Genomic DNA, 27,510 nt, shown 5'->3' with positions numbered 1-27,510 from the left:
TTGGTAGTTTGATATTATTAAAAATAGTGTTGAATCTATAAATTGCTTTGGTTGGTGTGGCCATTTTAACAATGTTGATTCTTCTATCCCTGAGCATGGAGTATTTTCTTTTTGTTTGTGTCATCTCTGATTTCTTTGAGCAGTCTTTTGTAATTCTCATTATAGAGATATTTTACCTGCCTGGTTAGCTGTATTCCTAGGTATTTTATTCTTTTTGTGAATGGGATTTCATTCTTTTATTCTATTGTGAATGGGATTGCATTCTTGATCTGACTCTCAGTTTGGATGTTGTTGGTGTACAGAAATGCTACTGATTCTCGTACATTAATTTTGTAGCCTGAAACCTCACTGAAGTTGTGTATCAGATCAAGTAGCTTTTGGGCAGAGACCAAGGGGTTTTCTAGGTATGGAGTCATATATGCTGCAAACAGGGATATTTTTACTTACTCTCTTCCTATGTAATGATGTCTTTTATTTCTTTCTATCGCCTAATTGCTCTGGTCAGGGCTTCTAGTACTATGTTGAATAGGAGTGGTGAGAGAGGGCAACTTTGTGATACAGGAGTTAAGAGAAACTCACTTAGGCAGATAGTAAGGGTATAGGAGTCCTCAGTATGGCTTTTCTTTTTAATGAAAAGCAGCCCCAAATCATTTTCTAACAAAGAGCAGCCTGGAAAGTTGAGCTGCAGACATAGACAAGCAAGCTGAGAGATCACACAGGTGAATGCTGGCAGGAACTAGGGACTAGACATGTTCAAGATGGAGGCTTCAAATTCCCTTCTCTGCCAGCCATGTGCATGGTTAGAAGCAGACAAGATGGGGCTGATCAACAGGAAAGCCCATTTGTATAAGAAGATTAGGGTGGGGTGACCAGCCTTCCCCACATGCTATGTAAATATTATACCTGACTGAACCAATCTGTGAGCCCTACCTAAATCAGACACTGCCTCCTCAAACTGGACTATAAAACCTGACACATTTGAGGTCTGCTGGTCTTTTCTGCTTGGAGACCCCTTCTTCTATGGAGGAAGCTGTTTCTCTTTCTCTTCTCTTCTACCTATTAAACTTCCACTCCTAAACTCCTCATATGTGTCTATGTCTTAAATTTTCCTGGCATGCAACAATGAACCCCTAGCTTTTGGGGGTACAAGTGGTTTCTGGTTACATGGATGAACTGTATAGTGGTAAAGTCTAAGTAATGCACCCATTACTTGAGTAGTGCACATTGTACCCAATAGGTAGTTTTTCTTTTCTCACCCCACCTTCATCTTCCCTGCTTCTGAGTCTCCATTGTCGTTATACCACTCTGTATGCCTTTGCGTACCCGTAGCTTAGCTCCCACTTATAAGTGAGAACATACAATACTTGGTTTTTTATTCCTGGGTTACTTTACTTAGAACAATGGCCTCCAGCTCCATCTAAATTGCTGCAAAAGACATTATTTCACTCTTTCTTATGGCTAATAGTGTTCCACAGTGTATATATACCACATTTTATTTTCTACTCATCAGTTGATGGGCACTTAGATTGGTACCATATCTTTGCAATTTGTGAATTGTGCTGTGATAAACATACATGTGCAGGTGTCTTTTTACTACAATGACTTATTTTCCTCTGGGTAGATACCCAGTAGTGGGATTGCTGGATCAAATGATAGATCTACTTTTCCTTCTTTGAGAAATCTCCGTACCGTTTTCCATGGAGTTTGTAATAATTTACATTCCCACCAGCAGTACATATGGGTTCCTCTTTCACCACGTCCATACAAACATCTGTTGTTTTTTGACTTTTTAAATAATGGTCATTCTGGCTAGAGTAAGGCAGTATCTCATTGTGGTTTCAATTTGCATTTCTCTGAAGATTAGTGATGTTGAGCATTTTGTCATGTTTATTTGCCATTTATATATCTTGTTTTGAGAACTGTCCATTCTTGTAATTTGCTCACTTTTCATGGGATTATTTGGTTTTTTTTCTTGCTGATTTGCTTGAGTTTTTTGTAGATTCTGGATATTAAGTTATGGATCTTTGTCAGATGCACAATTTGAGAATATTTTCTCCCATTCTTTAGGCTGCTGGTTTACTCTGATGATTATTTCTTTCACTGTGCAGAAGCTTTTTAGTTTAATTAGTTTCCATTTATTTATTTATTTTTATTTTTTTTTATTTTGAGACAGTCTTGCTCTGTCACCCAGGCTGGCTGGAGTGCAGTGGTGTGATCTCGGCTCACTCCAAGCTCAGCCTCCTGGGTTTATGTCATTCTCCTGCCTCAGCCTCCCAAGTAGCTGGGACTACAGGCGCCTGCCACCACGCCCAGCTAATTTTTTTGTAGTTTTTTTAGTAGAGACAGGGTTTCACCATGTTAGCCAGGATGGTCTCGATCTCCTGACCTCGTGATCCACCCGCTTTGGCATCCCAAACTGCTGGGATTACAAGCATGAGCCACTGCACCCAGCCTTATTTTTGTTTTTGTTGCATTTGCTTTTGGGGGTCTTAGTCATAAATTTTTTGCCTAGGCCAATGTCCAGAAAAGTTTTTCTAACTTTTCTTTTAGAGGCCTTTTTTTGGTTTCTGGTCTTAGATTTAAGTTTTTAATCTATATTAAGTTCATTTTTGTATGTGATGAGAGATAGGGATCCAGTTTCATTCTTCTATATGTGGCTATCCAGTTTTCCCAGCACCAATTATTGAATAGGGTGTCCTTTCCTCAATTTATATTGTGGTTTGCTTTGTCAAAGATAAGTTGGTTGTAAGTATTTGGCTTTATTTATGGGCTCTCTATTCTGTTCCATTGGTCTATATATCTGCCTTTATACCAGTAGCATGCTGTTTTGGTTACTGTAGCCTTGTAGTATAATTTGAAGTTGGGTAATGTGATACTCCAGATTTGTTATTTTTGTGTAGGATTGTTTTGCCTCTTTGGGCTCTTTTTAAATTCCATGTGAATTTTAGGATTGTTATTCTAATTCTGTGAAAATGATGTTAGTATTTTGATAGGAATTGCATTGAGTCTATAGATTGCTTTGGGCAGTATGGTCATTTTCATAATATTGTTTTAATCCAGAGCATGAGATGTATTTCCAATTTTTTGTGTCATATATGATTTATTTCAGCAGCGTTTTTAGTTCTTCTTGAAGAGATCTTTCACCTCCTTGGTTAAGTATATTCCTAGGTATTTTATTTTTTTGAGGGTGTTGTACAAGGGATTGAATTCTTGATTTGATTCTCAGCTCGATCATTGTTGGTGTATAGCAGATTCGCGTGCATTGATTTTGTAACCAGAGACTTTACTGAGTTTATTTGTCAGATCTAAGAGTCTTTTGGAGGAGTCTTCAGGGTTTTCTAGGTATATGATCATCTCATCAGCAAACAAAGATAACCTGACTTCCTCTTTCCAGTTGGGATGCCTTTTATTTCTTTCTCTTGCCTGATTGCTCTGGCTAGGACTTCCAGTACTACACTGAATAAAAGTGATGAAAGTAGGCATCCTTTCTTGTTCCAGCTTTTAGGGGAAATGCTTTCAACTTTCCCCACTCGGTATGATGTTGGCTGTGGGTTTGTCATATATGGCTTTTATTATTTTGAGGTATGTTCTTTCTATGCCTAATTTGTTGAAGGGATGCTGGATTTTAACAAATGCTTGCCCTGCATTTATTGAGATGATCATATAGTTCTTGTTTTGTTTTACTTCTGTTAATGTGCTGAGTCACAGTTATTGAATTGCATATGTTGAATCATCCCTGTATCCCTGGGATAAAATCTACTTGATCATGGTGAATTATCTTTTGATGTGCTGTTGGATTCAGTTTACTATATTTTGTTGAGGGTTTTTGCATTTATATTCACCAAGGTTACTGGTCTCTGTTTTCTTTTTTTGTTATGTCCTTTCCTGGCTTCAGTATCAGGGTGATATTGGCTTCATAGAATGAATTAGGGAGGATTCCCTCTTTCTCAATCTTTTGGAATAGTTTCACTAGGATTCACCAATTTTTCTTCGAATGTCTGGTAGAATTCAGCTGTGAATCTGTCTGGCCCAGGGCTTTTTTTGTTGTTGGCAGTTTTTTTTTTTTTTAATTACTGATTTGATTTCACTGCCTGTTATTGGTCTGTTCAGAATTTTTGTTTCTTCCTGATTCAAGCTAGAAGGGTTGTATGTTTCCAATTTCTCAATTTCTGCTAGATTTTGTAGTTTGTGTGCATAGAGGTGTTCATAGTGATCTTTTGTATTTCTGTGGTGTCGGTTGTAATGTCTCCATTTTCATTTCTGATTGAACTTTTTTGAATCTTCTTTCTTCTTTTCTTGGTTAATCAAGCCAATTCACCTGGAATCTTAATTATGACACAGGTAAGATCTCACCCACATCTCTTGATCCAGGATCCAAACATAGGCCTTAGCTAAGTAACCACAGTAGACTACATGTAAGAAAAAAGTTTTGGTTTGCCTAGTAAGTACTTTTAGACACTAATAGCGTTATCTTTTTGTGTTTAGACTGTTGTTGTTTTTTTTTCCCCCAGAGTTTGTTATGAGAATGAAGGACCTTCTTTCTATACCTTTGTCTTTCCAACAGGGCTTAGACCTGTCTTAGAGAATTATATATCAATTAATTGGTGGATTGTTGAAGACTATTCTAGGCCCTGTTGGGTTTTGTTGTGTAAATTTAAAAAGACAGTATAACATAAGGGAAATAAACCTTCAAATTTTTTTCCTGTCTTCCTCCCTCCTTTCATACCTTCTTTTTTTTCTTTCTCTTTCTTTCTACTTTCTTTCCTTCCTTCCTTCTTTGCTTTTTCTCTCTCAATTTCCCCTCCTTTCTTCCTTTTCTCTTTTCTCCCTTGATTTTTTTTCATTATGGAAATATGGGGCTGCATTTATTTGACTTTGCTTTTCTCCAAACTCTGGGAATCAAAGTACACTTTTTCCCTTTACATTGTCAGTAACTATAGCACATTAATATGAATGCTTTTTAAAAATCTAATATTGTAAATGGGTAGTGAATTAGGGGAAACACATTAATATGAGATCCTAAGTCAAAACAGGTGGAATTGAAATACTTTAAAGCAAGCTTCTGAGAAGCCAACAGAAACACATAAAGAAATTTCTTACTATGAAACAAGGAAGTAGGGGCCGGGCGTGGTGGCTCATGCCTGTAATCCGAGCACTTTGGGAGGCCGAGGCGGGCGGATCACGAGGTCAGGAGATTGAGACCATCCTGGGTAACACGGTGAAACCCCGTCTCTACTAAAAATACAAAAAATGAGCCGGGCACGGTGGCGGGCGCCTGTAGTCCCAGCTACTCGGGAGGCTGAGGCAGGAGAATGGCGTGAACCTGGGAGGCGGAGCTTGCAGTGAGCCGAGATGGCGCCACTGCACTCCAGCCTGGGCGACAGAGGGAGACTCCGTTTCAAAAAAAAAAAAAAAAAAAAACAAAAAAACAACAAGGAAGTAGGGAGACCAGTCTCCACGTATATCCATGGAGGGCAGGGGATTGTTGAAAGTAGGTGAAAACGTGAGTTCATGTCTAGTATATGATAATGTTTTGTGAGATAAGTGCAATAGACCTTCTACATGACTGCTGTGTTTGATGTTCAGCACGCATTTGAAAAACTCTGTGGACTTTGTTTTTATCAAAGTCAGTAGCATAGTGAGTTCAGCTAGATAATGGGCAAACTTACCAACAAAGCATGACTGCATTGTTGTATATTAAAGTCATAATCAGAAACAAATGTTTGAAAACAACATAAAAATAAATATTATCATTAATTTGGCAGTCTCATTGTGGGAGGCAACATAAATACCTAGAAATTTGGAGCAATTAAGTCATTGTGGCCTTAATTAGCGTTTTTAAATGGATGAACAAATTTAAATAAACTTCAAATTCCCCTTCCTCTTTTATTCTTACCAGAAACAATCAATATTGTCCATTATGCCAAGAAGATACGAGGCTAGTTTGCTCTGTTAGACTTGTAATGAATTGTATCTGTATCTATGGGACAATAGTTTCAAAGAAATTTCACCACATTATCTCATTTGAAGTTTGCAGAAACGTGTCGATTATCTTTTCATCCATTTTATCAAATATGAAATAAAACACAGATGATGATTTCTTCCAAAGTCTTGACTATGGGACATTAGAACAACTACTAATTAGTAGCTACTGAGGCTCTGACTCAGTTTCCAGTGCTGGTTTAGTACCTTGCCACCATGTTGTTATCTAGTCCAAAGTTCCTCGAACCTCAAACTATGAACACAGATTAACTTATACTCAACATGAATTTCCAGTCTAGCACATGATCCTGAATTACATTCTGAGCTCAAAGGAATGTAAGAATTGCCATACTGACCCATCCACCCCACTATTGTCTTGCTGAGACACTTTCCTGGGAAGAAAGCAATCTGAAGTAATCTTTAAACTTCAGGTATATTTCAGCTTTAGTATAAATTTAGGGCTTTTCCTCTTGCACATGTCTATAGGAGAAAGACGACAACATTTTGCTTAATCCTGCAATTCCTTATTCTAATAGTTTGGTGGTGGTTACTTTCAAAAGAGTTTGAGTAATTAATAGAATTGTCTAAACTTTTGCTACTCAGGGAGGATCTGTGGAGCAGCAGCATTGGAATTACCTGAGACCTTATGAGAAATGCAGACTACCGGGCTCCACTTCATTCTTAGTGAGTCACAAGACTCACTAAGATCTTAACAAGATCCTCAGATAACTGGTAAGAAAGAGCATTAAAACTTGAGAATGGGCCTTAGAAAATGGTGTGCTAATTAACAGCATCTGAGGTTGAATCAATGGACACATCTTTTCAGAGATTTGCTGTTCTGGTGTTTTGGTTGGTGATGCTTGCTGTTCAAGGTTTTTGGCACTAGAGGGTAACACTGGGCTGAGTAGCCAATGAGCAAGCCCTTTCTTTGGAAAACAAATGGGCATCTCAAAATTATCTACTCTTAAATGTGTGTTTGGTCTTTTGTGTTAAATTTACTCTAGCTGCCGAATAACAATTGACATTTATTTAGCACAAATTATATGCCAAACACTATGTCAGGTCCTTTACATGAATCACCTTATTTTATCCTCAGATGTGCTATTTATAGTCCTACTTTAAAGATAAAGAAATTAGAGTTAAGGAAGTTCAGGATATATGTTTGTGGTCACACAGCTGAGAAAAGACAAGACTTGGCAGAGTGTGGATCAGACCAGGTCTGTCTGGCTATGAGCCTGTGCTCTGATAATGGATTTCAACTACAGTACAGCCATTCTGCTCTGGCTTCTCTTGACTTCTGCAATAATCCATCAGGGCAGGCAGATTAAAGTAAACAACTGTGACTTCATTGAACAATCAAAATAGAAGAACAAAAAATTAAATTAAAATTCTGTATGTTTTTAATGCACTTTCTTTGTAAGTGAGAACATAGTGATTATGTGCCCACGTTCTAGAGTTTTCTGTCTAATACAGGAGCCACTAGCCATATATGGCTTTTAAGTAATAGGAATGTGGCTACTATGACTGAAAAACTCAATGTTTAAATGAGTTTTTAAGTAGTTTAATTTTAATTAGTTTAACCTTAAAAAGTGATAATTCAGTCATTAGAAAGCTTTTAAGTGTGTTTGGAACAACTTGGGCATGTTTATCTACTTTTTCAGCTCTAAGTTTTATGCAAACTTTATTAAACAGATCAAATATTTTTGATGAAAATTTTGGGCTGAATTGAGATGTGCTATAAATGTAGAATACACACTGGCTTCCAAAGACACTATAACAACATAACATATTTTATGACTAGTCTTGATATTGATTACATGTTGAAATAATAATATTCTCAGTGCATTGAGTTACACAAAATGTATTGTTGAAATTAGTTTTGTTTATTTTTGCTTTTAAAATGTGGCTACTAGAAAATTTAAAATGATATGTCTAGTTCACATATTTCTGTGGGACAGTGCTGCTCCAGAGCCCTATTGCTGGATTCAAATCCTCACTCTACCATTGAATAGCTGTGGGAACTTTGTGTCCCATTTCTTAATCTATAAAATGACATAAGAGTACCTATCTCATGTGGTTGTTGAGGAGGTCCAGAGAATCAATATATGTAAAGTACTTATTGGGAGACAATTCTCAATGGACCTTTTGTGTTTCTGCTCATCTTGTAAGCAGAAGTTTTGAATGCATTTCTTCTGAACTAACTTTTAAAGGATGCTTGTATAACAGCCAGCCTTGGAAGACAGTGATAGCTTCTCCCTCTAATGCAAAGGTCAGGTAGGTTTGCCTACTCTCTGTTATAAAAGATTTGGGATCCCTAAGCTCAAAGTTTCTTTTCTGTAACTCAACCAACTTCCAGTGCAAATATCACCTGGTTCTTTCTGTTTCAATCTGTGAGAAATGGGGCTCAGGGAACTGGTTACTGCTTCTGACTATTCCTGTGACTAATGAACGGTCCTTTGTCTCTGACCCAGGAGTCTTATGTCTTCTGTCAGCTTCCCTGAAATTATGGCAGGCTAACTTGTTAGTTTCTAAAAGGAGTGAAATCTCAGAACTTTCACAGTTCTTGACATTTCTTTGAAGAGGTGTCTGGCACACGGCACTATATAAGTGTTAGCAATTATTACTAACTCCCACTTGTTTCCATTCAGTTTAGCTGACTTGTTACTGTACTACACCTATTATGTCCACTTCCACTTACGTAGGTATCTTTTCTTCGCTCTTTATTTGGGCCTCTGACATTCCCTCTGGCTCTACTCTATTGCTTATCTCTCACGGTTATTTCAGGTTGTATGTAGTGAAATTTTTAGAGCTATATCTTATAGATCAGTGTAATGGATTTGATTGTCTTTAAATATTGCTCCAAAATTTGTCTCTTCCAGGATAATTTTACAAAACTAAGTATAAAAATATATGGTGGCAGTCTCATGCCCCTAGTTCCTCTGCCTGCATTTTCTCTAATTGAGGAGAGCTTGGCACCTGACAAGTACTAGCCTCCCTTTCTTCTTCCCACCAGCAATTCTTTGTATATAATGCTTTTTCTTCACTTGTACACACTCAGAAATGGGCATATACATGATCACTGTGCATAGTTTCCACTTTCGCATAATGCATTTTGACTACACTATAAAACTACTTAGAATTAAGAATTTTACTGATTTTGGTCAAAAGTGAAGGTAAAAATTTTTAGAGCAAAGAGTATGTACACTATTCTATTTGCAGTAAGCTACAGGAGCAAAAGGGAACAAAGGAAAAGGGAATATGAAACATTTCAGTATGAATTACATATAAGGGATTGTCAAACATATCACCAAAATGTTTTAACCAAATTGTCTGAATTGCTTTTAGCTCTGACTTTTGAAGTAGCCAATATTAAAGAAAAAACACCAAAAAGCTCTTTTTATATGAGCAACTAATATTTAAATTTAATTAAAATAAAATAAAAGTAAGTATTCATTTCCTCAGTTGCACCAGCCACATTTCAAGAGCTTGACAGCCACACGTGACTAGTGGCTACCATATTGGACAGTGCAAGTATACAACATTTCTATCATCACAGAAGGTTATATTGGGCAGCCCTGCTCTCAGCCCTTCTAAGTGTGGTACATAAATGTGTGGGTCAGATATTTTGTGTTGTTCTTTAACAAATAGCACTAAATTTGCTTCCATAGCATTTTTGACATAATTTCAGATATGTTTACAACTCTAAGTAACATGATTATACCTTGGTGTTAGGATAAAGTTATAAAATTTTAGTTCTTTTCCCTTTCCTTTCCTTTTTTTTTTTTTCTGAAGACAGAGTCACACTCTGTACCTACCCTGGAGTGCAGTGGCACAATCAGGGCTCACGGCAGCCTCGACCTCCTGGGTTCAAACAATTTTCCTGCCTCAGCTTCCCATGTAGCTGGGACCACAGGTGCATGCCACCCTAAATTTTTGTATTTTTTTGTGGAGACAGGGTTTTGCTATGTGGTTCAGGCTACTTTCAAACTCCTGAGCTCAAGCGATCCACCTGCCTTGGCCTTTCAAAGTGCTGGGATTATAGGCATGAGCCACAGCACCTGACTGTATTTCTGAAAATTCAGGACACACTGTCAATACCAAATGCTGGTGAGGATGTGGAGATCTCATTAATTGTTTGTGGGAATGCAAAATGATACAGCTACTTTGGAAGACAGTTGGGCAGTTTCTTAAAAAACTAAACATACTCTTACCATACAGTTGAGCTCCTTGGTATTTACCCAAAGGAGTGAAAACTATATCTGCCTAAAAACCTTCACATTGTTGTTTATAGCATGGTTGGCAAGTTTATAATTGCCAGAACTTGGAAGCAGCCAAGATGTTTTTCAGTAGGTGAATGAAAAAGTAAACTGTGTTACAGGCAATGGAATAATATTCAGTGCTAAAAAGAAAAAACCCAACTATCAAAACACGAAAAGACATGGAAGAAATGTCTATTGGATAGACATTTCTAAGCAAATGGATATCACTAAGCAAAATAGCCATTCTGAAAAGGCCACACATTGTATGATTCCAACTATATGACATTCAGGAAAAGACAAACTATAAAGACAGTTAAAGAGATCAGTGGTTGGCTGGGCCTGGGGAGACACAGGGATAAATAGGTGCAGCACAGAAGATTTTTAGGGCAGTGAAACTACTCTGTATGATACCATAGTGGCAGGTACATGTCATTTTCCATTTATCACAACCCATAGAATACAGAGCTAAGAGTGAACCCTAAGGTAAACTATGAACTTTGGATGATTATGATGTGCCAATGTAAGTTCATCAGTTTTAACAAATGTACCTCTTTGGTGGGGGATGTTGATAACAGGAGAGGTAGGTTATGCATATGTGGGGGGAGATGGTATACAAGATATATCTATACTTTCTTCTCAATTTTGCTAGGAACCTAAGATTGCTCTAAAACATAAAGTCTATATAAAATTGGTAGAAAAAATCAATATAACACAGATGCTCATTTTCTTTGTTTTTCAAGGTCTACATCTTCATTAAAGTATATTTATTCATAGTGATATTTTCCTTTCATTTGTTTTTCTTTTAACAGGAGTACTTTCACAGTTTTCTGTTACTGCAATGTACTATCTTGGCACAATTTACACAGTTTAAAACTAATGTATATTTTATTTATAGTACATATCACTTTAGCAACCCAGTTTTTAACAGATAGATGAATTCCAGCATACATTGAAATATTGTACTTGTTTGTGTGATTATAATGTTATTGATGAAAATAAGAACAGCAGCTGTAGGAACCACAGCAAGGATCCCCAGTGTCATGGGGATGACTGACTGCTAAGCACAAATATTGACTCTGTGCTGTTGTGTACATTCTACCCGACGAAGCACAAGCCTGGAATTAAGATGGAGACCACACCATTGTTTCCTTTTTGGAGGCAGAAGGTCATGTTTCCACTAAGTCTTTTCCAGCATTACCATTCTGCCCTCAAAGTTAAAACAGCCTATCCACCATGAATTAGATCCTTGCTCCTAAAAGTAAGGCTGTGTACCACCAGGATTAGTATAACCTCAGGGTTTGTTGGAGATCATCTGAGGCCCCAGCCCAGATGTACTAAATCAGAATTTGTGTTTTAGTGGAGTCCCCATCTGACATGAGGCACCATGGAGTTTGAGAAGCACTGTGTCAGACAATGAAAACGAGGCCTTCATGAAGTCTGATGCCATTTCTGGGGCACAGTGCTGTGGTGAATTGTGTCCCTTCCCCCTCTCCCTTCCCCAAATTCATATGTTGAAGTCCAAACCCCCAGTACCTTAGAATGTGACCCTTTTGGAGAGAGGGTCTTTGCAGAGGTAATCAAGTTAAAATGAGGTCATTAGTTTAGGCCTGAATCCAGTATGATCGGTGTCCTTATAAAAAGGGAAACGTGGGCACAGAGACACATATAGAGGGAAGGTGATGTGAAAAGACACAGGGAGAAGATGGCCTGGCACAGATCCTTTCCTTACATCCCTCAGAAGGAACCAGGCCTGCCAACACTTTGATCTCATACTTCCTGCTTCCAGGACTACAAGGCAATAAATTTCTGTTAAGCCTCCCAGTGTGTGATACTTTGTTATGGTAGCCTGAGAAGACTAATATTTTTGGTTATGCTTTCTTCTGTGTGTTGAATTGACTGCCTTCTCAAGGACATCAACAGAGCATTTCTGCTCTTCTACGTGCCCAGAATATGCTGTCAGGTAGAGTGCCTACAGCAGTTCTCTTGGGGACGTAATTCACGGAAGAGGCAATAATGATATTTGTGACAGTTGCAAAACGAAGCATTAGGGACCCTGAAGAGAGTGGCAGCTTCCCTGTAACATGCACTTCTTCAGCATAAAGGAAATGATGGACATGGATCAGATAATGTCTTAAAAATTTTGAGTGAGAGCTGTGGGAGACATGAATGGATTCAAGAATGAACCTACCAGATGGAAGAAACAGAAAAAGGAGATTGAGAGAACATCTAAGAGGAGGCAACACCAGAACCACAGAAGAGTGGGAGAGCCAAGGCAAACAGGAGGCTGGGAGATTAGAGGAAAATGCGTAAGAGTGTCTTTTATGATTATGTAACCACTACAAATTCGTGAAATGCAGTAGTTAATATATTCCTATCTAAGATTTGCAGTTTCAAATCTTTCATCCACATGGATCATGGAATTAGTACTACCTAATAGTAAACCTGTTTGTTAGAGCTGAGAGAACCTGAGTTCTTTTGTATATAAGGAAGCTGAGTCCCAGTGCGGTGAGAGATATATCCAGTAGCTTCCAGCTAATTAGTTGGAGACTTGGCATCTCCCAGCCCTAGGCCAGAGCTCTTGCCTCTTGCCAGTACACCTGGCATGTGTGGCTTTTGGTAGCTGTAGATCATAGAACAGAGTGTCTACGATAAGTGAAATTGCTTTACATGAAGCACATGGATTTTGCATCAGGGAGTTTTAATTATAAGGCTATAAATATGTCAAAAGGATCTGACAACATCTTATTAAATTACAAGACTGAGCTCAAGTAGTTTCTGATGCTGGCATAGTCCCAAGAAGAATGAGTTTTATAGTTGGGAGCTACCCAGCCTTCTACCTCCTTCTCCTTCCCCTCTCCTTTTCCCTTTTAAAGTGTTTATTTTAATCATAGAAAATACTGCATGGTTCTAGATCCCTGAGGAATCGCCACACTGACTTCCACAATGGTTGAACTAGTTTACAGTCCCACCAACAGTGTAAGAGTTTCCTATTTCTCCACATCCTCTCCAGCACCTGTTGTTTCCTGACTTTTTAATGATTGCCATTCTAACTGGTGTGAGATGATATCTCATAGTGGTTTTGATTTGCATTTCTCTGATGGCCAGTGATGATGAGCATTTTTTCATGTATTTTTTGGCTGCATAAATGTCTTCTTTTGAGAAGTGTCTGTTCATGTCCTTCGCCCACTTTTTGATGGGGTTGTTTGTTTTTTTCTTGTAAATTTGTTTGAGTTCATTGTAGATTCTGGATATTAGCCCTTTGTCAGATGAGTAGGTTGCGAAAATTTTCTCCCATGTTGTAGGTTGCCTGTTCACTCTGATGGTAGTTTCTTTTGCTGTGCAGAAGCTCTTTAGTTTAATTAGATCCCATTTGTCAATTTTGGCTTTTGTTGCCATTGCTTTTGGTGTTTTGGACATGAAGTCCTTGCCCACGCCTATGTCCTGAATGGTAATGCCTAGGTTTTCTTCTAGGGTTTTTATGGTTTTAGGTCTAACGTTTAAATCTTTAATCCATCTTGAATAGAAATACCATTTGACCCAGCCATCCCATTACTGGGTATATACCCAAAGGACTATAAATCATGCTGCTATAAAGACACATGCACACGCATGTTTATTGCGGCATTATTCACAATAGCAAAGACTTGGAACCAACCCAAATGTCCAATAATGATAGACTGGATTAAGAAAATGTGGCACATATACACCATGGAATACTATGCAGCCATAAAAAATGATGAGTTCATGTCCTTTGTAGGGACATGGATGAAATTGGAAACCATCATTCTCAGTAAACTATCGCCAAGAACAAAAAACCAAACACCGCATATTCTCACTCATAGGTGGGAATTGAACAATGAGATCACATGGACACAGGAAGGGGAATATCACACTCTGGGGACTGTGGTGGGGTGGGGGGAGGGGGGAGGGATAGCATTGGGAGATATACCTAATGCTAGATGACGAGTTGGTGGGTGCAGCGCACCGGCATGGCACATGTATACATATGTAACTAACCTGCACAATGTGCACATGTACCCTAAAACTTGAAGTATAATAATAAAAAAAAAAAAAGAAAAAAAGAAAATACTGCATGGAAATTATAAAAATGTAGAAGAAATATTTTATCCAAATTGTTTTCCTTTCTTTTATCCTCTCATTTCTTCGAATGATAATAGGATTTAATCTTCAGAGAGTCCTCTTTAGAACTCCAAATAGAAAAAAACTATTTTTTACTGATGAGATATTATGTGTGGCTGGTATTTTAAATTGTATTTCCATTGGAAATAGAACATTAGTTTCAACTTTTCTATTAAAAAAGTGAGTGTAAAGGAGTGATTTTATAGACATATCTGTCACATTAACTGTCAAAATCCTGGGGAAATTGGCAGCTGAGAATTGTGATAGTACCGGTGTGAGCTATGAAGTCTTTTAGTGACAACTGTGAAGCTTCCACTTCTCCACTGCCTTAGAAATTTAAGGTTTACATTCCACGTTTGGAAGTAGGACCCATCTAACCTCATTTTATTGTGATCACAAGGTATCCAAGATAATAGTTTCTTAATGTGTCCTCTTAAAGATCTCATCATGTCCGTTTTTAGTTCCACCACATCATCTCTCTTCTCACTGGTCTGTCATTCTTATTAATATTTGTATCAGCCAGGCATGGTGGGTCATGCCTATAACCCCAGCACTTTGGGAGTCCGAGGCTGGGGGATCACCTGAGGTCAGGAGTTTGAGAACAGCCTGGCCAACATGGTGAAACCCCGACTGTACTAAAAATACAAAAATTAGCCAGGCGTGGTGGCGGGTGCCTGTAATCTCACCTACTTGGGAAGCTGAGGGAGAACCCAGGAGGTGTAGGTTGCAGTGAGCCTAGATCGCGCCATTGCACTCCAGCCTGGGCAACAAGAGTGAAAACTCTGACTGGGTGCGGTGGTTCATGCCTGTAATCCCAGAACTTTAGGAGGCCAAGGTGGGCAGGTCATGAGGTCAAGAGATTGAGACCATCGTGGCCAACATGGTGAAACCCCATCTCTACTAAAAATACAAAAATTAGCTGGGCATGGTGGTGCCTGTCTGTACTCCCAGCTTCCCAGCTAATTGGGAGGCTGAGGCAGGAGAATCGCTTGAACCGGGAGGCAGAGGTTGCAGTGAGCCGAGATAGTGCCACTGCACTCCCGCTTGGCGACAGAGCAAGACTTGGTAAAAAAAAAAAAAGAAAGAAAGAAAAAGAAAGAAAGAGCAAAACTCTGTCTCAAAAAAACAAAAAACAAAAAACGAAATTGTAGCACTCAGCACCTAAAAATGGGAAATGGAGGCTACTTTAAATGTTTACCACAGCGGGAATTTAAAGCAGGGAATTGCTTACGCTGGTGATGGCAGAGCTGAGAAGCCAAAAAAGAGACAGTGAAGGAATCCAGAGAGATTAGCGAGAAATCACTTCCATCACTAGAGTGGACATATATACTATTATTTTCTTCACGTATGTAGGAAATGATGTACGTCTATCAGGGATTCAAAAATAGTAGACACACAAGAAACAAAAGGGTGATCGTGGTCTGAGCCACAAGGACGCATTCAGGAACCGGAAGGGTAGAAACACAAAGAATTCCGGTGCTTCCTGGGCTGTTGTGAACATGAGCTAGAGGGCTCTTTTCATGGTGACGTTTCGTCTAACTTAAAACTTCTAAGGAGCAATCTGAGCGGAAGAACACTTTCTGAATGAACACTTTGTAACACGTTTTATTCTTTTAGAGATTATAATGTCTTGCAGAGAGATAGCTTTTCCTTTCAACGAGTCAAAGAGATGCATTTATCCAGGAAGAAAGGGGACTTAGATGAACACATTTTGCTTTTCTAAAAAAAAAAAAAATTGGCAGATTTTAAATTTGTGCTCAAATTAACAGATCAAAATACTCCTGGTAGGGTTAACTAGAAGCAAAAAGGCGAGGTCAACAAAGTTTTGGGGTACCTGCAATCACCTTCATTCATGTCCCTCCCGCTCCACATGCTTCTTCCCTTCAATTTGGGCACCCAGTGTTCCTAACTGCTCTTCTACATTCTTTACTTATTCTTACTTACTTGAAAGGATGGGGTTTAAGGGACTTACAACCTAGAACAAATTTATCAATGTAACATCTTCATGGCTGCCTAATGAAACTGACCCTTAACATTGGCATATATTTTGGAAGAAAATTTTAAAATTAGAAAGTAAAAAATGACAAAAGATGAGAATATTTTGAAGTAGTTTGGCTACAGAGTATTTAAAAATTGGTGTTTATATAATCAGTCTGTATATTTAGAAAAAAGTTTTAAATTCTAAAATAAAAAAGAATTTTAAAATAGCACATGTACATCAAGTCATAAGATAAAGTTTAATCATTTGATCATGTTAAAAGACACAAAACACAGCCAATCTAACCAAATTTCAGGCATGCATTTACATAAATATATTAAATTAAGAAAAGAAATTGTACACTTAAACGTCCTTTTCACCTAGAAATCATTAAATCCACAGATCAACAATAAAACCAATTCTCTGCATTTACCACTTCAAGATACAATTGTTCTATTTTAAAGATAACACAAATACACTTGTTAGAATTTATATGCATTATACATATATTATATTTTACATAGATAGTGTGTATACATATGTAGTGTTTGTACAGATAGATAAATATATATACATGGGTGTGTGCACACGTACAGATACACACAGATGTACTTTAGGCCATCTGTACTGTTACTGCTGAATTCTAAAGTTGAGCTGAACTGGTGCCGTTGGATGTGATTATTGTCTTTTGCTTCAGACATGCTTATGATGCCGATTGGGCCCACAATCCCCCCCTAGTAAATGTCCTTGTCTTTTCTACAGCACATAATCATGGTAGGCACTTTAATAAATATTTGTTGAATTAATAAATGGATAGATGATTGAATAATAGAAGATTGATTAAAGAGAACTGCATATTATAATAACTTGGTTAAATAAATCAAATAAGTTCAAATTCAGAGAAATTACCTGAGCCAATGACTATGCATGTAACTTTTCAGACATTTATAGAAATCTCACCTAGTACATATGATAGCCCTGCTCCCTTAAACTTGTACCTGCCTTTACTACCTATTCAAATACCCTTCTCCCTTTTATTAACAGAAATCTAAGCATGGGTTGGGTCTGGTGTCTCCTGCGAGTAAGGCTCTGGACAAACTGCCCTAATTTTCACAAGCTAAAGGAAAATGAACCATTAGAGAAACCAAAACATGTTAGAAGAATGATAAAGATAACCATTCCTTAATACTGGACAAAATAAATCACAGATAAAACCAAAAAAGACACAGAATTCTCATTTAAGTATTGTTTTATGTTTGTTCATTGTGATTCAACAATTTTTTTTCACTTTAATTAGTTGGGTTACTTTTGAATAAATAGTTTAGTTTACTGTAGCATGTCCTGGGGAATCAAGTTCTAAAAATTCCATAGTACCTCAGTTACCATTTATCTTATTACTACATGGTTCTTGGTGAAACGCATGTCCAAACATATGCTGTGAATATAATGAGATAAGGGAAATATCTGATCTCTCATAAGGTAGTCAACTTGGTTTCTTCATAACAGTATTAGGAAAGGGACTCTATTGTACATGAAATCTTAATTTGTTCCAGAAAAATCATGTCTCAGATTTTAAGAATATAAAGTAAAGAAACATAGGTTTTGGGCATACTATCCCAAACCTGATTATAACTTGTTCATGTGAATGGAAACTATCAATTAGTTATTTTTTTAGTGAAAAGGAAAATGTACAAGAATTAGTTTGTAACTGCAAAGACAAAGCTTATTTCATATTTAGCCATTATGAATTTCCCATTACTGTTAATGTTCAGTTCTTTTTATATTATGTACTTAAATGTTTTCTTTTTGACTTAGAAGATTATAGTCAATTGAGATAACTCATCAAACATTTATATTAAGTTACATATATATGTATATATATACACACATGTATTTTGGATTTAAGTAATACATAATCTATATATGCAAAAAGAAAACCCCAAGAAATCCTAAATGAAAGATGATGGCTGACTTTATGATGTATGTGAGAAGTAACCTTAGATTTAATGTTGAGCTGATACCATTTTGTAAATGTTACTGTTTAGTCTGGCTCAAAGAAGAATAACAGGTTTTAAGCACAAGGCTTTCTGTTGATACAAGGAATCCAATTATTTATTTTTTTATTTTGTCAATGGACTTATATATGACTTATACAAATTATATGGGAATCAAGGTAAATGATGGGTATGCCTTAGGTTCATATTTAATGAGGAATTTAAGAAAAGTCCTAATCTCATAAGTGAACAAACCTTTCCATAGCAGCTAGGAAAACCACCACTATGACTGAGAAGAAAACAGCTCTACAATGCTCCCTCACAATCCCATGAATATATATTACTCTCCTAAAAACTTATTTTAAGGTGAAGTCCAGAACTTATTCAGAGAAGATAGTTAAGAGAAAGAAGGATTGAAGTTGGCTAGGATTAGTGTTTGGCAGGTTCCATGGTTATATATATGTATTAAGATATATATATATATAAGATATATATTATATATATATAATATATATATATTATATATATATAATGTATATATATATACATATATCTTATATGTATAAGATATATATATAAGATATATATAAAGATATATATATAAGATATATATAAAAAGATATATATATAAGATATATATAAAAAGATATATATATAAGATATATATATAAAGATATATATATAACCAAATATATATAACCATATATATAAATATATATATGACCAATTTATGTTTGTGTGACAAAAAGAGGATAAGATAGCAAATATATATTTATTTTTAGGTATTTTAAAGATAAACTTTCTGATGGTATTGCCAGCATTCACAGTACTAGTTTACTTCCTGGGAGTAGTTTAAAAATATGTACATTTTCTGCCATGGGACTTTGGTCTGAGTCCTCTGCAACTTCAAATCTCATCCCAGGGGTGAGGAAATTAAGATTTATAAAGTCTCCATTGAGGAACTGCTTCTTATTTTTTCCTCACAGATTTGGAATAATTTTCTTAAAATTATTCCATAGAGAAGGTTGTTCCTTGGCTAGGAAATAGCTACTAACTTTCCCTGCTGTTAGCTAACCCCAGTGTTATTCTCCATGTCTTTCCTGTATCTATGCTAGAGCAGCTGAATTGGAGCCTCTGGACTGTTAGTGATTTCTGCTCTTCCTTATTTCTTTCAATGATTGTAATAGATCAGCCTAGTATGTCATTTGTTTACTATCCACTATTATTTGTTATATAGAATTTGAGAAAATGTGGAATCAAGAGAGGCTATTTTTCAGAAAAACAAAGAAAAGATCATAACCAGCAAAATCAACAGCAATCTAGCCCAGGATACCTTCAACATGGGTGTATTGAGAACATGTCTATTTAGGCAAAACCAATAGAAAATGTAGGAGAGGGAAGTGGTTAAAAGGAAAAAGAATATATGTATGTATGTATGTATGTGTGTGTGTGTGTGTATATATATACATACATATATATATACACATACACATATATATTAGCCGAGAGAGCGAGAGGGGGAGAGAGAGAGAGAAGGAGGGAGGGAGAGGAGGTGAACACTGACAGTATAGGTAACATTTTATAAATTACTTGGTTAATCAGTCAATTACAATTAAAACTACAACTGCCAATAGTATACCTTAGCCTTCCTCTAAAAATTTGGGCTTGATTTCTCTTTTATGTTTCAAAGCTAAGAGACTTAACAGAAAGTTAGACTAATAAAAGTTTAAATTAATGTATATCTTGAATGCTCCTAGATGTAGCATCTAACCTTATACCTGGTAAGCTTGTATAGTTTGTAACTCAGAGATAAAAACAATATCAAAAGCAAATGGAAGCTGGGCATGGTGGCTCACGCCTGTAATCCTAGCACTTTGGGAGGCCTGGGGGGCTGGATCACTTGAAGTCTGGAGTTTGAAATCAGCCTGGCCAACATGGTGAAACCCTGTCTCTACTAAAAACACAAAAAAATTAGCCGGGTGTGGTGGCGGGCACCTGTAATCCCAGCTACTTGGGAGGCTGAGGCAGGAGAATTGCTTGAACCCGGGAGGCGGAGGTTGTAGTGAGCTGAGATTGTGCTGCTCTGCAGCCTGGGCAACATAGCAAGGCTCCGTCTCAAAAAAAAAAAAAAAGAAACCAAAAAAAAAAAAAAAACAGCAAATGGATTAAAATTGTTAGTATACTATTTTGTAATTATTTTCAAAGAAATAAATAGGGAAGAAGTAACTTCTCTGGGGCATGCAAATGACAAAGAAAATAGTTTTCTATTTAGGTTGTGTGTATATATTGTATGTGTTGGTTTCTCTACTCTTTATGAGATACTCATTAATCTGAGAAACCTTCCGAGTATTCTTCATGATAAAATAAAAAAATATATTTTACAATAATTACATTGAAAAAAATCCAAGAAGAAAAGTTATGGATGGAAGCACTTACTTTTAGCCATCACTCAATTTCTTAAATTTTTTCTCTCTTTCACTTAAAGATCTGCCAAATTGTGTTCCTTTTATTACCTTAAATAACTGTCAAGAAAACAAGGTTCTATGAACCAGGACAACAGTGTGGCAGAAACAGTAGTAGAAAGGTTATTTCCAACCATTTAAAACAACTATAACATCATTTCACATTCAACTGACAACCGCAGCTTAAACTTGAGAATGGACAAGGGAATAATAATATACATTTTTCTTTTTCATTATTTCGTCTTTATCTTATGCATCAGTATTCTTACGAAGGACCTTTTTTTCTTCCATTCGAGACTGTGTGCTTTATGAACTGAACAGATGTTGCCTTTCATGTGATTAAACAATAATTTTTTCCTGCTCATACTTCTTAACCAATTCCTACCTGCCTCTCATCATGAATCATTGAAGATAATTCTCCAGTCATGCATTTAAAAAAATCTACTTGAAAGAAAAGGTCAAAGAGAATTTTTGAATTGACCACTTAATTTAAAATATGTTGCCATCAATTAGCCAGTGCTATCTACTTTTCTCCTAAGAACAGAAAGAAATGACTCCAATGATTTTACTTTCTTTGCTTGGCTTAATATCCGTGGATCTTGCTATCTTCTCTTGAGAAGAACTTGGCCTTTCATTCTAATGACTCACAAAAGAAAAGGCAATGACACCTGGGGCACATATGTTTTTCTAAGTCACTTGAAAATCTTTCACTTGGGAAAAAGCTGTATAAAAAATCTGGGCCTGGTCAACTTAATATAGATATTTTAAAACAGTAGAACTAATGGCAATAGAACACCTTTTATTTTGGGGAGGAGATGGAAAGTTTAAAGATGTAAGAAGTAATGCTTGATTTTTTTAGATTTTACTGAATATATAGCAGTATCCTTATTGTTTTCAGGGAAACTAGGAAGAATTGGAGAATGTGTAATAAAACTGCACGATTTGACAGATTTAGACAGCTGGCTCCCTCACAAGAAGTTCACATTTTGTTAATGTCACCCACGTTGAATAAGGGACAATTAGATGGTAAGGTCCATTTACAAAAATGGTTGTCAGGACATTTTTTTTTAATTGTAAAACTTTCTGTGATGGAATTCAGTAAAAGGGCTATGAAGAGAAAGCAATGGAGACAAAAGATTGCTATTAACCTACAGATGCAGGCTACTGCATGGTTCATTGCAAGATTTGTCACACTGTTGGGCCAATGAAGTGTTAGTGTGACTAGAAGGGACCACCCCTTTTCTGGGGTAAGAGGGCAATTTGGTCTCCATGCTCATTTAATCCTGAGACTTCTTTGAATAGACTGTCAATTGAATCTAAATTGTGCAAAATTATGCATGCACTTTTTAATGCAGGCTATTGTTCACTAAGCACTGAACCAAGATTTCTCAACCCATTTCCATTTGGCATGAGGTCACTTGAAACTTAAGTAATCATATATGGAAGACAAGAGCAGTGTACTTAACCAATCTTTCTACATTGTGGCTTCTATATAAATGCTTACTGGGCTTTAATTGCAAATCTCTCACCTTAAAACAATAGAGAAATACTAGCTACAATATATTTTTTAAATTGAGGCTTGTATTCCTAAAGGTAAGGAGAAGGTTTAGAAAGTCAGCTGGCGCTGCATAATCTATACTGCTCTACAATTTAGATTCTAGAGGAATGGATGTTTACAGAAGAAGGACAGCCATAGTGGGTGTGCACTTGTCATGAGTAGACGTGTTTTTTCACTAGTGCAAAGAGGCCTTATATTTTGTTAAAATCCAAACGTGGAGAGCTGGCTTTGAAAACCATGAAGAAAAATATCTACTAGACTTTTTGCAGTTTTAAGTCAGAACATGTCATCTCTGTAAAACCCTGAACAGAACATTTACAGAAAATTTATTGATACATTAGCCAAAGAGTATTTTCATTGAGTTCTGAAGGAACACGTACATTTAAAGTCATATTTGGCAAGAATTATTATGTTAAAAATTTGTACAGGTGACAGCTTACATAGCCAAGATTTTTAAAAACAAGTGAGCTCTTCTCCAGTGAGGTTCGATTCAGTGGAAATCTGCAACATTCTAATAACATAGACTCTGACAGTCTTGCTATGGTGAAAAGCACTTTACAAATGTTTAATGCTGGAATTTTATAAGGATTGGCTGTTTTCTTGCTTTTTCATCCGTCGTTAATGATTACATGTTGGCACAAGGATACCTTGCTAGATTAGATCCACAGCACATTAAAGACTGTTTGCTTTCTCACTCCCCTTCTTTCCAATTAAGTTGGTGAAAAATGTAACTTTAGTGTTTTACAGGACAGGGTAAAGGTGTTTCATCTAGGTGATGTCTATATTATAAAAATAAAATAAAATATATAAATATGTAACACAAACCCAGTGCCTATTGTTAAATAAAATATACAATAAAAGCAGACCTTTTAGGAAGATTGATTTTAAAATATGCTATTATGATTTAATTATAAAACACTTGAAAACAATCTTGAGATTAAGATGAAATAACCAGATTTCTCAGCCAATAAAAAGGTAAGTGTGTAGCATTCTGTAACTGGATACACTGACAAAAATGAAGATTACAATTTTATATCAAGTTGCTCACTTAGAAATTCATCAGGGAGTTCTGAAACATTCTCTCCTAGTATAGTACTTTAATATAAAAATATTGCCTTTTTTTTAATTAGATCCATCGGATTGCACAGTACTGTTTCAAAACTCTATTAAAGTTGACTTTAGTGATTACAGACAGAAAATTCCTGGGAAGTCAAATAATCTCTTCTAGTAACATAAAAAATCCATTATCAATTTACAATGGAATTTCTGTGTAAATTACTTTGCATAAGGAAGTATATATTTTAAAAAATCATCTGTTATGCAACAACGCATATAGGGGTTATGAGTATGTGTATGTGCATATGTGAACAAACATGCTGACATACACACAGAGGATCTGCACATTTCTGGAAATTATTTTTAAATTAATAAAAGAGAATGAAATCACAGGAGTGTGTAGCAGGATAACAGTCTTTTTTTTTTAATGACAGGATAAAAAATAAATGCCCATTGGAATAGAATATTCAAACAGTCCCAGAAACTATACAATGTAACTTGTTAGATCCAGCAAGTAAGATGTCATGTCAATGATCTGATCAAGAATACCTGCCCTGGTCACTCTGCGGATGTTTCTGTCCACTTGTTCACATTGAGGACCAAGATATCCTTTTTTACAGAGGCACTTGTTCGGTCTAACACAGACACCTCCATGACGACATGCTGGCTCACATTTTGCTGGGAGAGAAAAAGAGCAAGAACATCACACTCTCATTCTGTATGTCAGAAACAGGACTGAGCATGAGACCAACAAATATTTGCTGAATAAGGGAAGCGAGGGAAAAAAGGAGGGAGATAGTTACAAAATGATCTGAAAGATAAATATGCAAGTAGGAAACAGGCTTTTACACCCATAGTTATTTGGAGACCTGAACTCAGCAGAGAATGAGAGACATTTCTAGAGAAGCAGAGATCATGAGAAACAATTGCAACCCTTTGCAAAATTAACTCTATTTAAAATGAAGATTTTAGTCCTTTGAAATCTCTGCTTCACAGGAGCATTCTCTACAGAGGGCCTCCCAAGCTCTATGTTCCCATTCCTTCAAGGTAGGATCTCAACATGGGAGTGGCCCAGCCTGAGGGGGAGACACAGAGGCTCAAGCAACTCCAGTGCAACAGAAAGGAACAGTCAGTTTTGGATTTTGGTTGGGTGGAATATCCACCATATAAACTCCCTTGGATTCTTCCTTCCTCTTGCTTCCAGGGGGCAGACAGCATATGCTTTGCTCTCTGATTACACTTAGAAGTCTCTTTCTGGAGTCAGTGCAGTTGGCCAGCAAAGGATGTTCTGAGCAAACCTTTTCAGGGTTACCCTACAGCACAGAATTTATTCATTAAAGAATTTTACCACTACAATATAAATGGGAAATAAGAAGATATACTGCTAAAATGAGACATAAAATTGGGTATATAAATTGCTATTTTCTGATTAAATCTGGGGAGTACAGTCACTGGGGATGGAGTCAAATTCCTTCAATACATTTCCTTATGTTTTGACGAGACAGGGTCATTTTGACCTTTCAAATGCGTTAATCAAATTCCAGGTGTCTGTGGTTGACACATGGGATAGAAAAAGTAAGAAGAAAATAAACAATTTTATGCTTTAAATCTGTGGGAGATGAGTAAACAATGTGAGTACATGAATAAAATTCCTGTTTAGGTCCAAAACATCCCACATAAACAGATTATTTTTATAAAATGGTTTTGGTAAATGTTATATATTCAAACTATTTAAATTGATTCAGTGTAAAAATGAAAGTACCTCATGGAGTAAAACTTTATGTTAACTCAATGTATGTCTATTTTCATTTATATCACAATTTATTATTAATATCTATTAAGGTATATATAGTGCCATCTGTATTTGAGATAATTCATTCACCCTCAGTTTAAATATACTGTCACTAGCAGGCTTCAGATAACATAAGAGATTAGGCAAAATGCAAAGCAGGGAATATAACAGAATGGACACTTTATGTTATATTCTGTTACTAAAAGATGCAGAGAGGCTGGGCATGGTGGCTCACACCTGTTATCCAAGCACTCTGGGAGGCCAAGGTGGCAGATCACATGAGGTTGAGAGTTCAAGACCAGCCTGGCCAACGTGGTGGAAACCCATCTCCACTATAAATACAAAAATTAGGAGGGCATGGTGGTGGGCGCCTATAATCCAAGCTACTCGGGAAGCTGAGGCGGGAGAATCACTTGAACCCAGGAGGTGGAGGTTGTGGTGAGCCGAGATTGCCTCACTGCCCTCCAGCCTGGGCGACAGAGAGAGACTCCACCTCAAAAAAAAAAAAAAAAAGATGCAGAAAAAGTAGATATTGTTAGGCAGCAAAGGAAGCAGAGAGATAATAAATTAGCAGGAATTTGAATATCATTACATTTGAATACTGATTCTCATATTTTTGGTCAACCAACAAAAAGACAGAGAAGATGGGTAAATAACATGTAAGCATTTGTTTTAAATAATGTAATTACTTAATTTCTGTTGAGTTTTAATTTTGATAACTCCTTCCTAGATACATAACCATAGTATTAATCACACACATAATGTTATTAATGCTGAAGCAATGTAAGTTTAAAATATATCCTCTATATGTGGTTTTAAATGTTGGTTTTTTTGTTAGGCAATATAAAAATAGACAAGTTATAGTTATAATTTTTTGAAATACATCTTGAGGACAAACAAAAAGATAGCATTTATGAATAAATAATATTAAATGTTAATTTGAGGTTTTAATTTTCATTGGCAATAAGTATTTTAATATTTGAAATAGCCGAGATCAAAATCATTTCTAAGTGATGGTATATGCTGGTTGTTGATTATGCATTTTCAACATACACATTTTAAACTCTAGGTTTCTAAATTTATCTAATTTTCTGACTTCACACCAAGTAGAACTTAAGCATCATTGCACATAATTGAGGAACTATCAAGTTATAGGCTAGAACAACCCTGGAATAAATCTCCTTTGCTCTCTCTGAGCAGATGCACACCTAGTTGATGGTTCACAGGGGAGTGGCAAAAAGCATGAAAAAAAATCTCATAATATGTCTCTAGATAATTGCATTTTCCCGTTTTATTTAATAACACCCACTGAAAAGCCCTGTTTTTAGTCTGCTGTGGTAGGAAAGCAAGCAGTAAAGCCAGGGAGGGCATTTACAGGGTGTCTGGAAAATGCTAGCGCTTGGAGAGGGGCTTTGCAAACACTAAGTCATTGGCTAGTGTGAAATTTCAGAACCCAGGACCAAGAGGCCTAAAGAGATGATCTAGTTGTGCTATTTGCATTTTTTACTTTTTGAAAGGACTCAGTCATTTAAAGGTTTTGTATATTTATAATTAACTTACATAAGTGAATTGTTTACATTAAGAAAATGAACAAGATTTTACTTACAAGCTCATAAACAGATGAGCATTAATAGTATTGTAAATGGCTAAATACTTTTGAACACTATATTATTGTAGAAGAAACAATCAATGTTGAGTTCTTGAGTACCTAAGGATTGGCTCATCCCCAGTCCTTTTCAGGTGAAAACAGAAATACTAACCAGTTCTGCAGAAGTCCCCCTCCCAGCCTGGACTGCAGCAGCACTTTCCCGTGGGGGTGCAGTAGCCGTTTCGACAGAGCCTGGAGCACTCTGAAGTCAGTGTCTGTGCAGGTTGTACCGTGGCTCTGCATTCCTCAGGCATTAAAGGTCTACATTAAAACACAATAGTTGAAAGTGTATTCCATTTGAAAATCAACAGTGGAATGAAATCTAGTGATTCTGTGGCTTACAAAGCATGCCTCTTACTTTCTAGAGAGACTTTTTTTTTTTTTAAGTGACTCAGTCAGATTTACAACTTTCTAAGGATAGGAAATACATACCAGTGAGGAAACAAACTAACCAGTTTGTAACCCAACTAAACACATTAAACATTCTAAGAAACTTTATCCTGATCAAAGCCCATTGATGAAAATATCTTTAATTAAATTGATATTTCACATTTGGTAAGTAAGAATTTCTAACAATTGCAATATTTAAAGTAAAGTAGTATAAATATCTTAAAACTTTTCACCCTATATCTACAAAAATG

The 27,510-nt window shown here is 36.5% G+C and overlaps 1 protein-coding gene and 1 long non-coding RNA gene across 4 annotated transcripts in view; one reads left to right on the top strand and one right to left on the bottom strand.

Annotated features, from left to right (window-relative positions):
- Positions 1–5,410: 5,410 nt before the first annotated feature.
- Positions 5,411–27,510, top strand: part of LOC124900791 (uncharacterized) — a 67,320-nt gene continuing 45,220 nt past the window's right edge. The window contains exon 1 of the long non-coding RNA XR_007058289.1: positions 5,411–6,714. This is a non-coding gene — a long non-coding RNA (uncharacterized LOC124900791). The remainder of the gene's footprint in view (positions 6,715–27,510) is intronic.
- The window catches only part of HHIP (hedgehog interacting protein), a 99,116-nt gene continuing 88,205 nt past the window's right edge, over positions 16,600–27,510 (bottom strand). The window contains exons 12-14 of one of the 3 annotated variants that reach the window (XM_005263178.6): positions 26,982–27,130; positions 23,979–24,107; positions 16,600–23,152 (exon numbers count right to left, since the gene is read on the bottom strand). In XM_005263178.6, the coding sequence (XP_005263235.1) occupies positions 23,142–23,152; positions 23,979–24,107; positions 26,982–27,130 (289 nt within the window). In that variant the 3' untranslated portion in view covers positions 16,600–23,141. Of the gene's footprint in view, positions 24,108–26,981; positions 27,131–27,510 lie in introns of all 3 variants that reach the window. The other 2 variants (XM_006714288.5, NM_022475.3) reach the window with 2 other exon arrangements.

The sequence above is a fragment of the Homo sapiens genome, chromosome 4, assembly GCF_000001405.40.
Source record: "Homo sapiens chromosome 4, GRCh38.p14 Primary Assembly".
NCBI classification, from domain to species: domain Eukaryota; kingdom Metazoa; phylum Chordata; class Mammalia; order Primates; family Hominidae; genus Homo; species Homo sapiens.
This window is presented reverse-complemented; position numbering and strand designations above follow the sequence as displayed.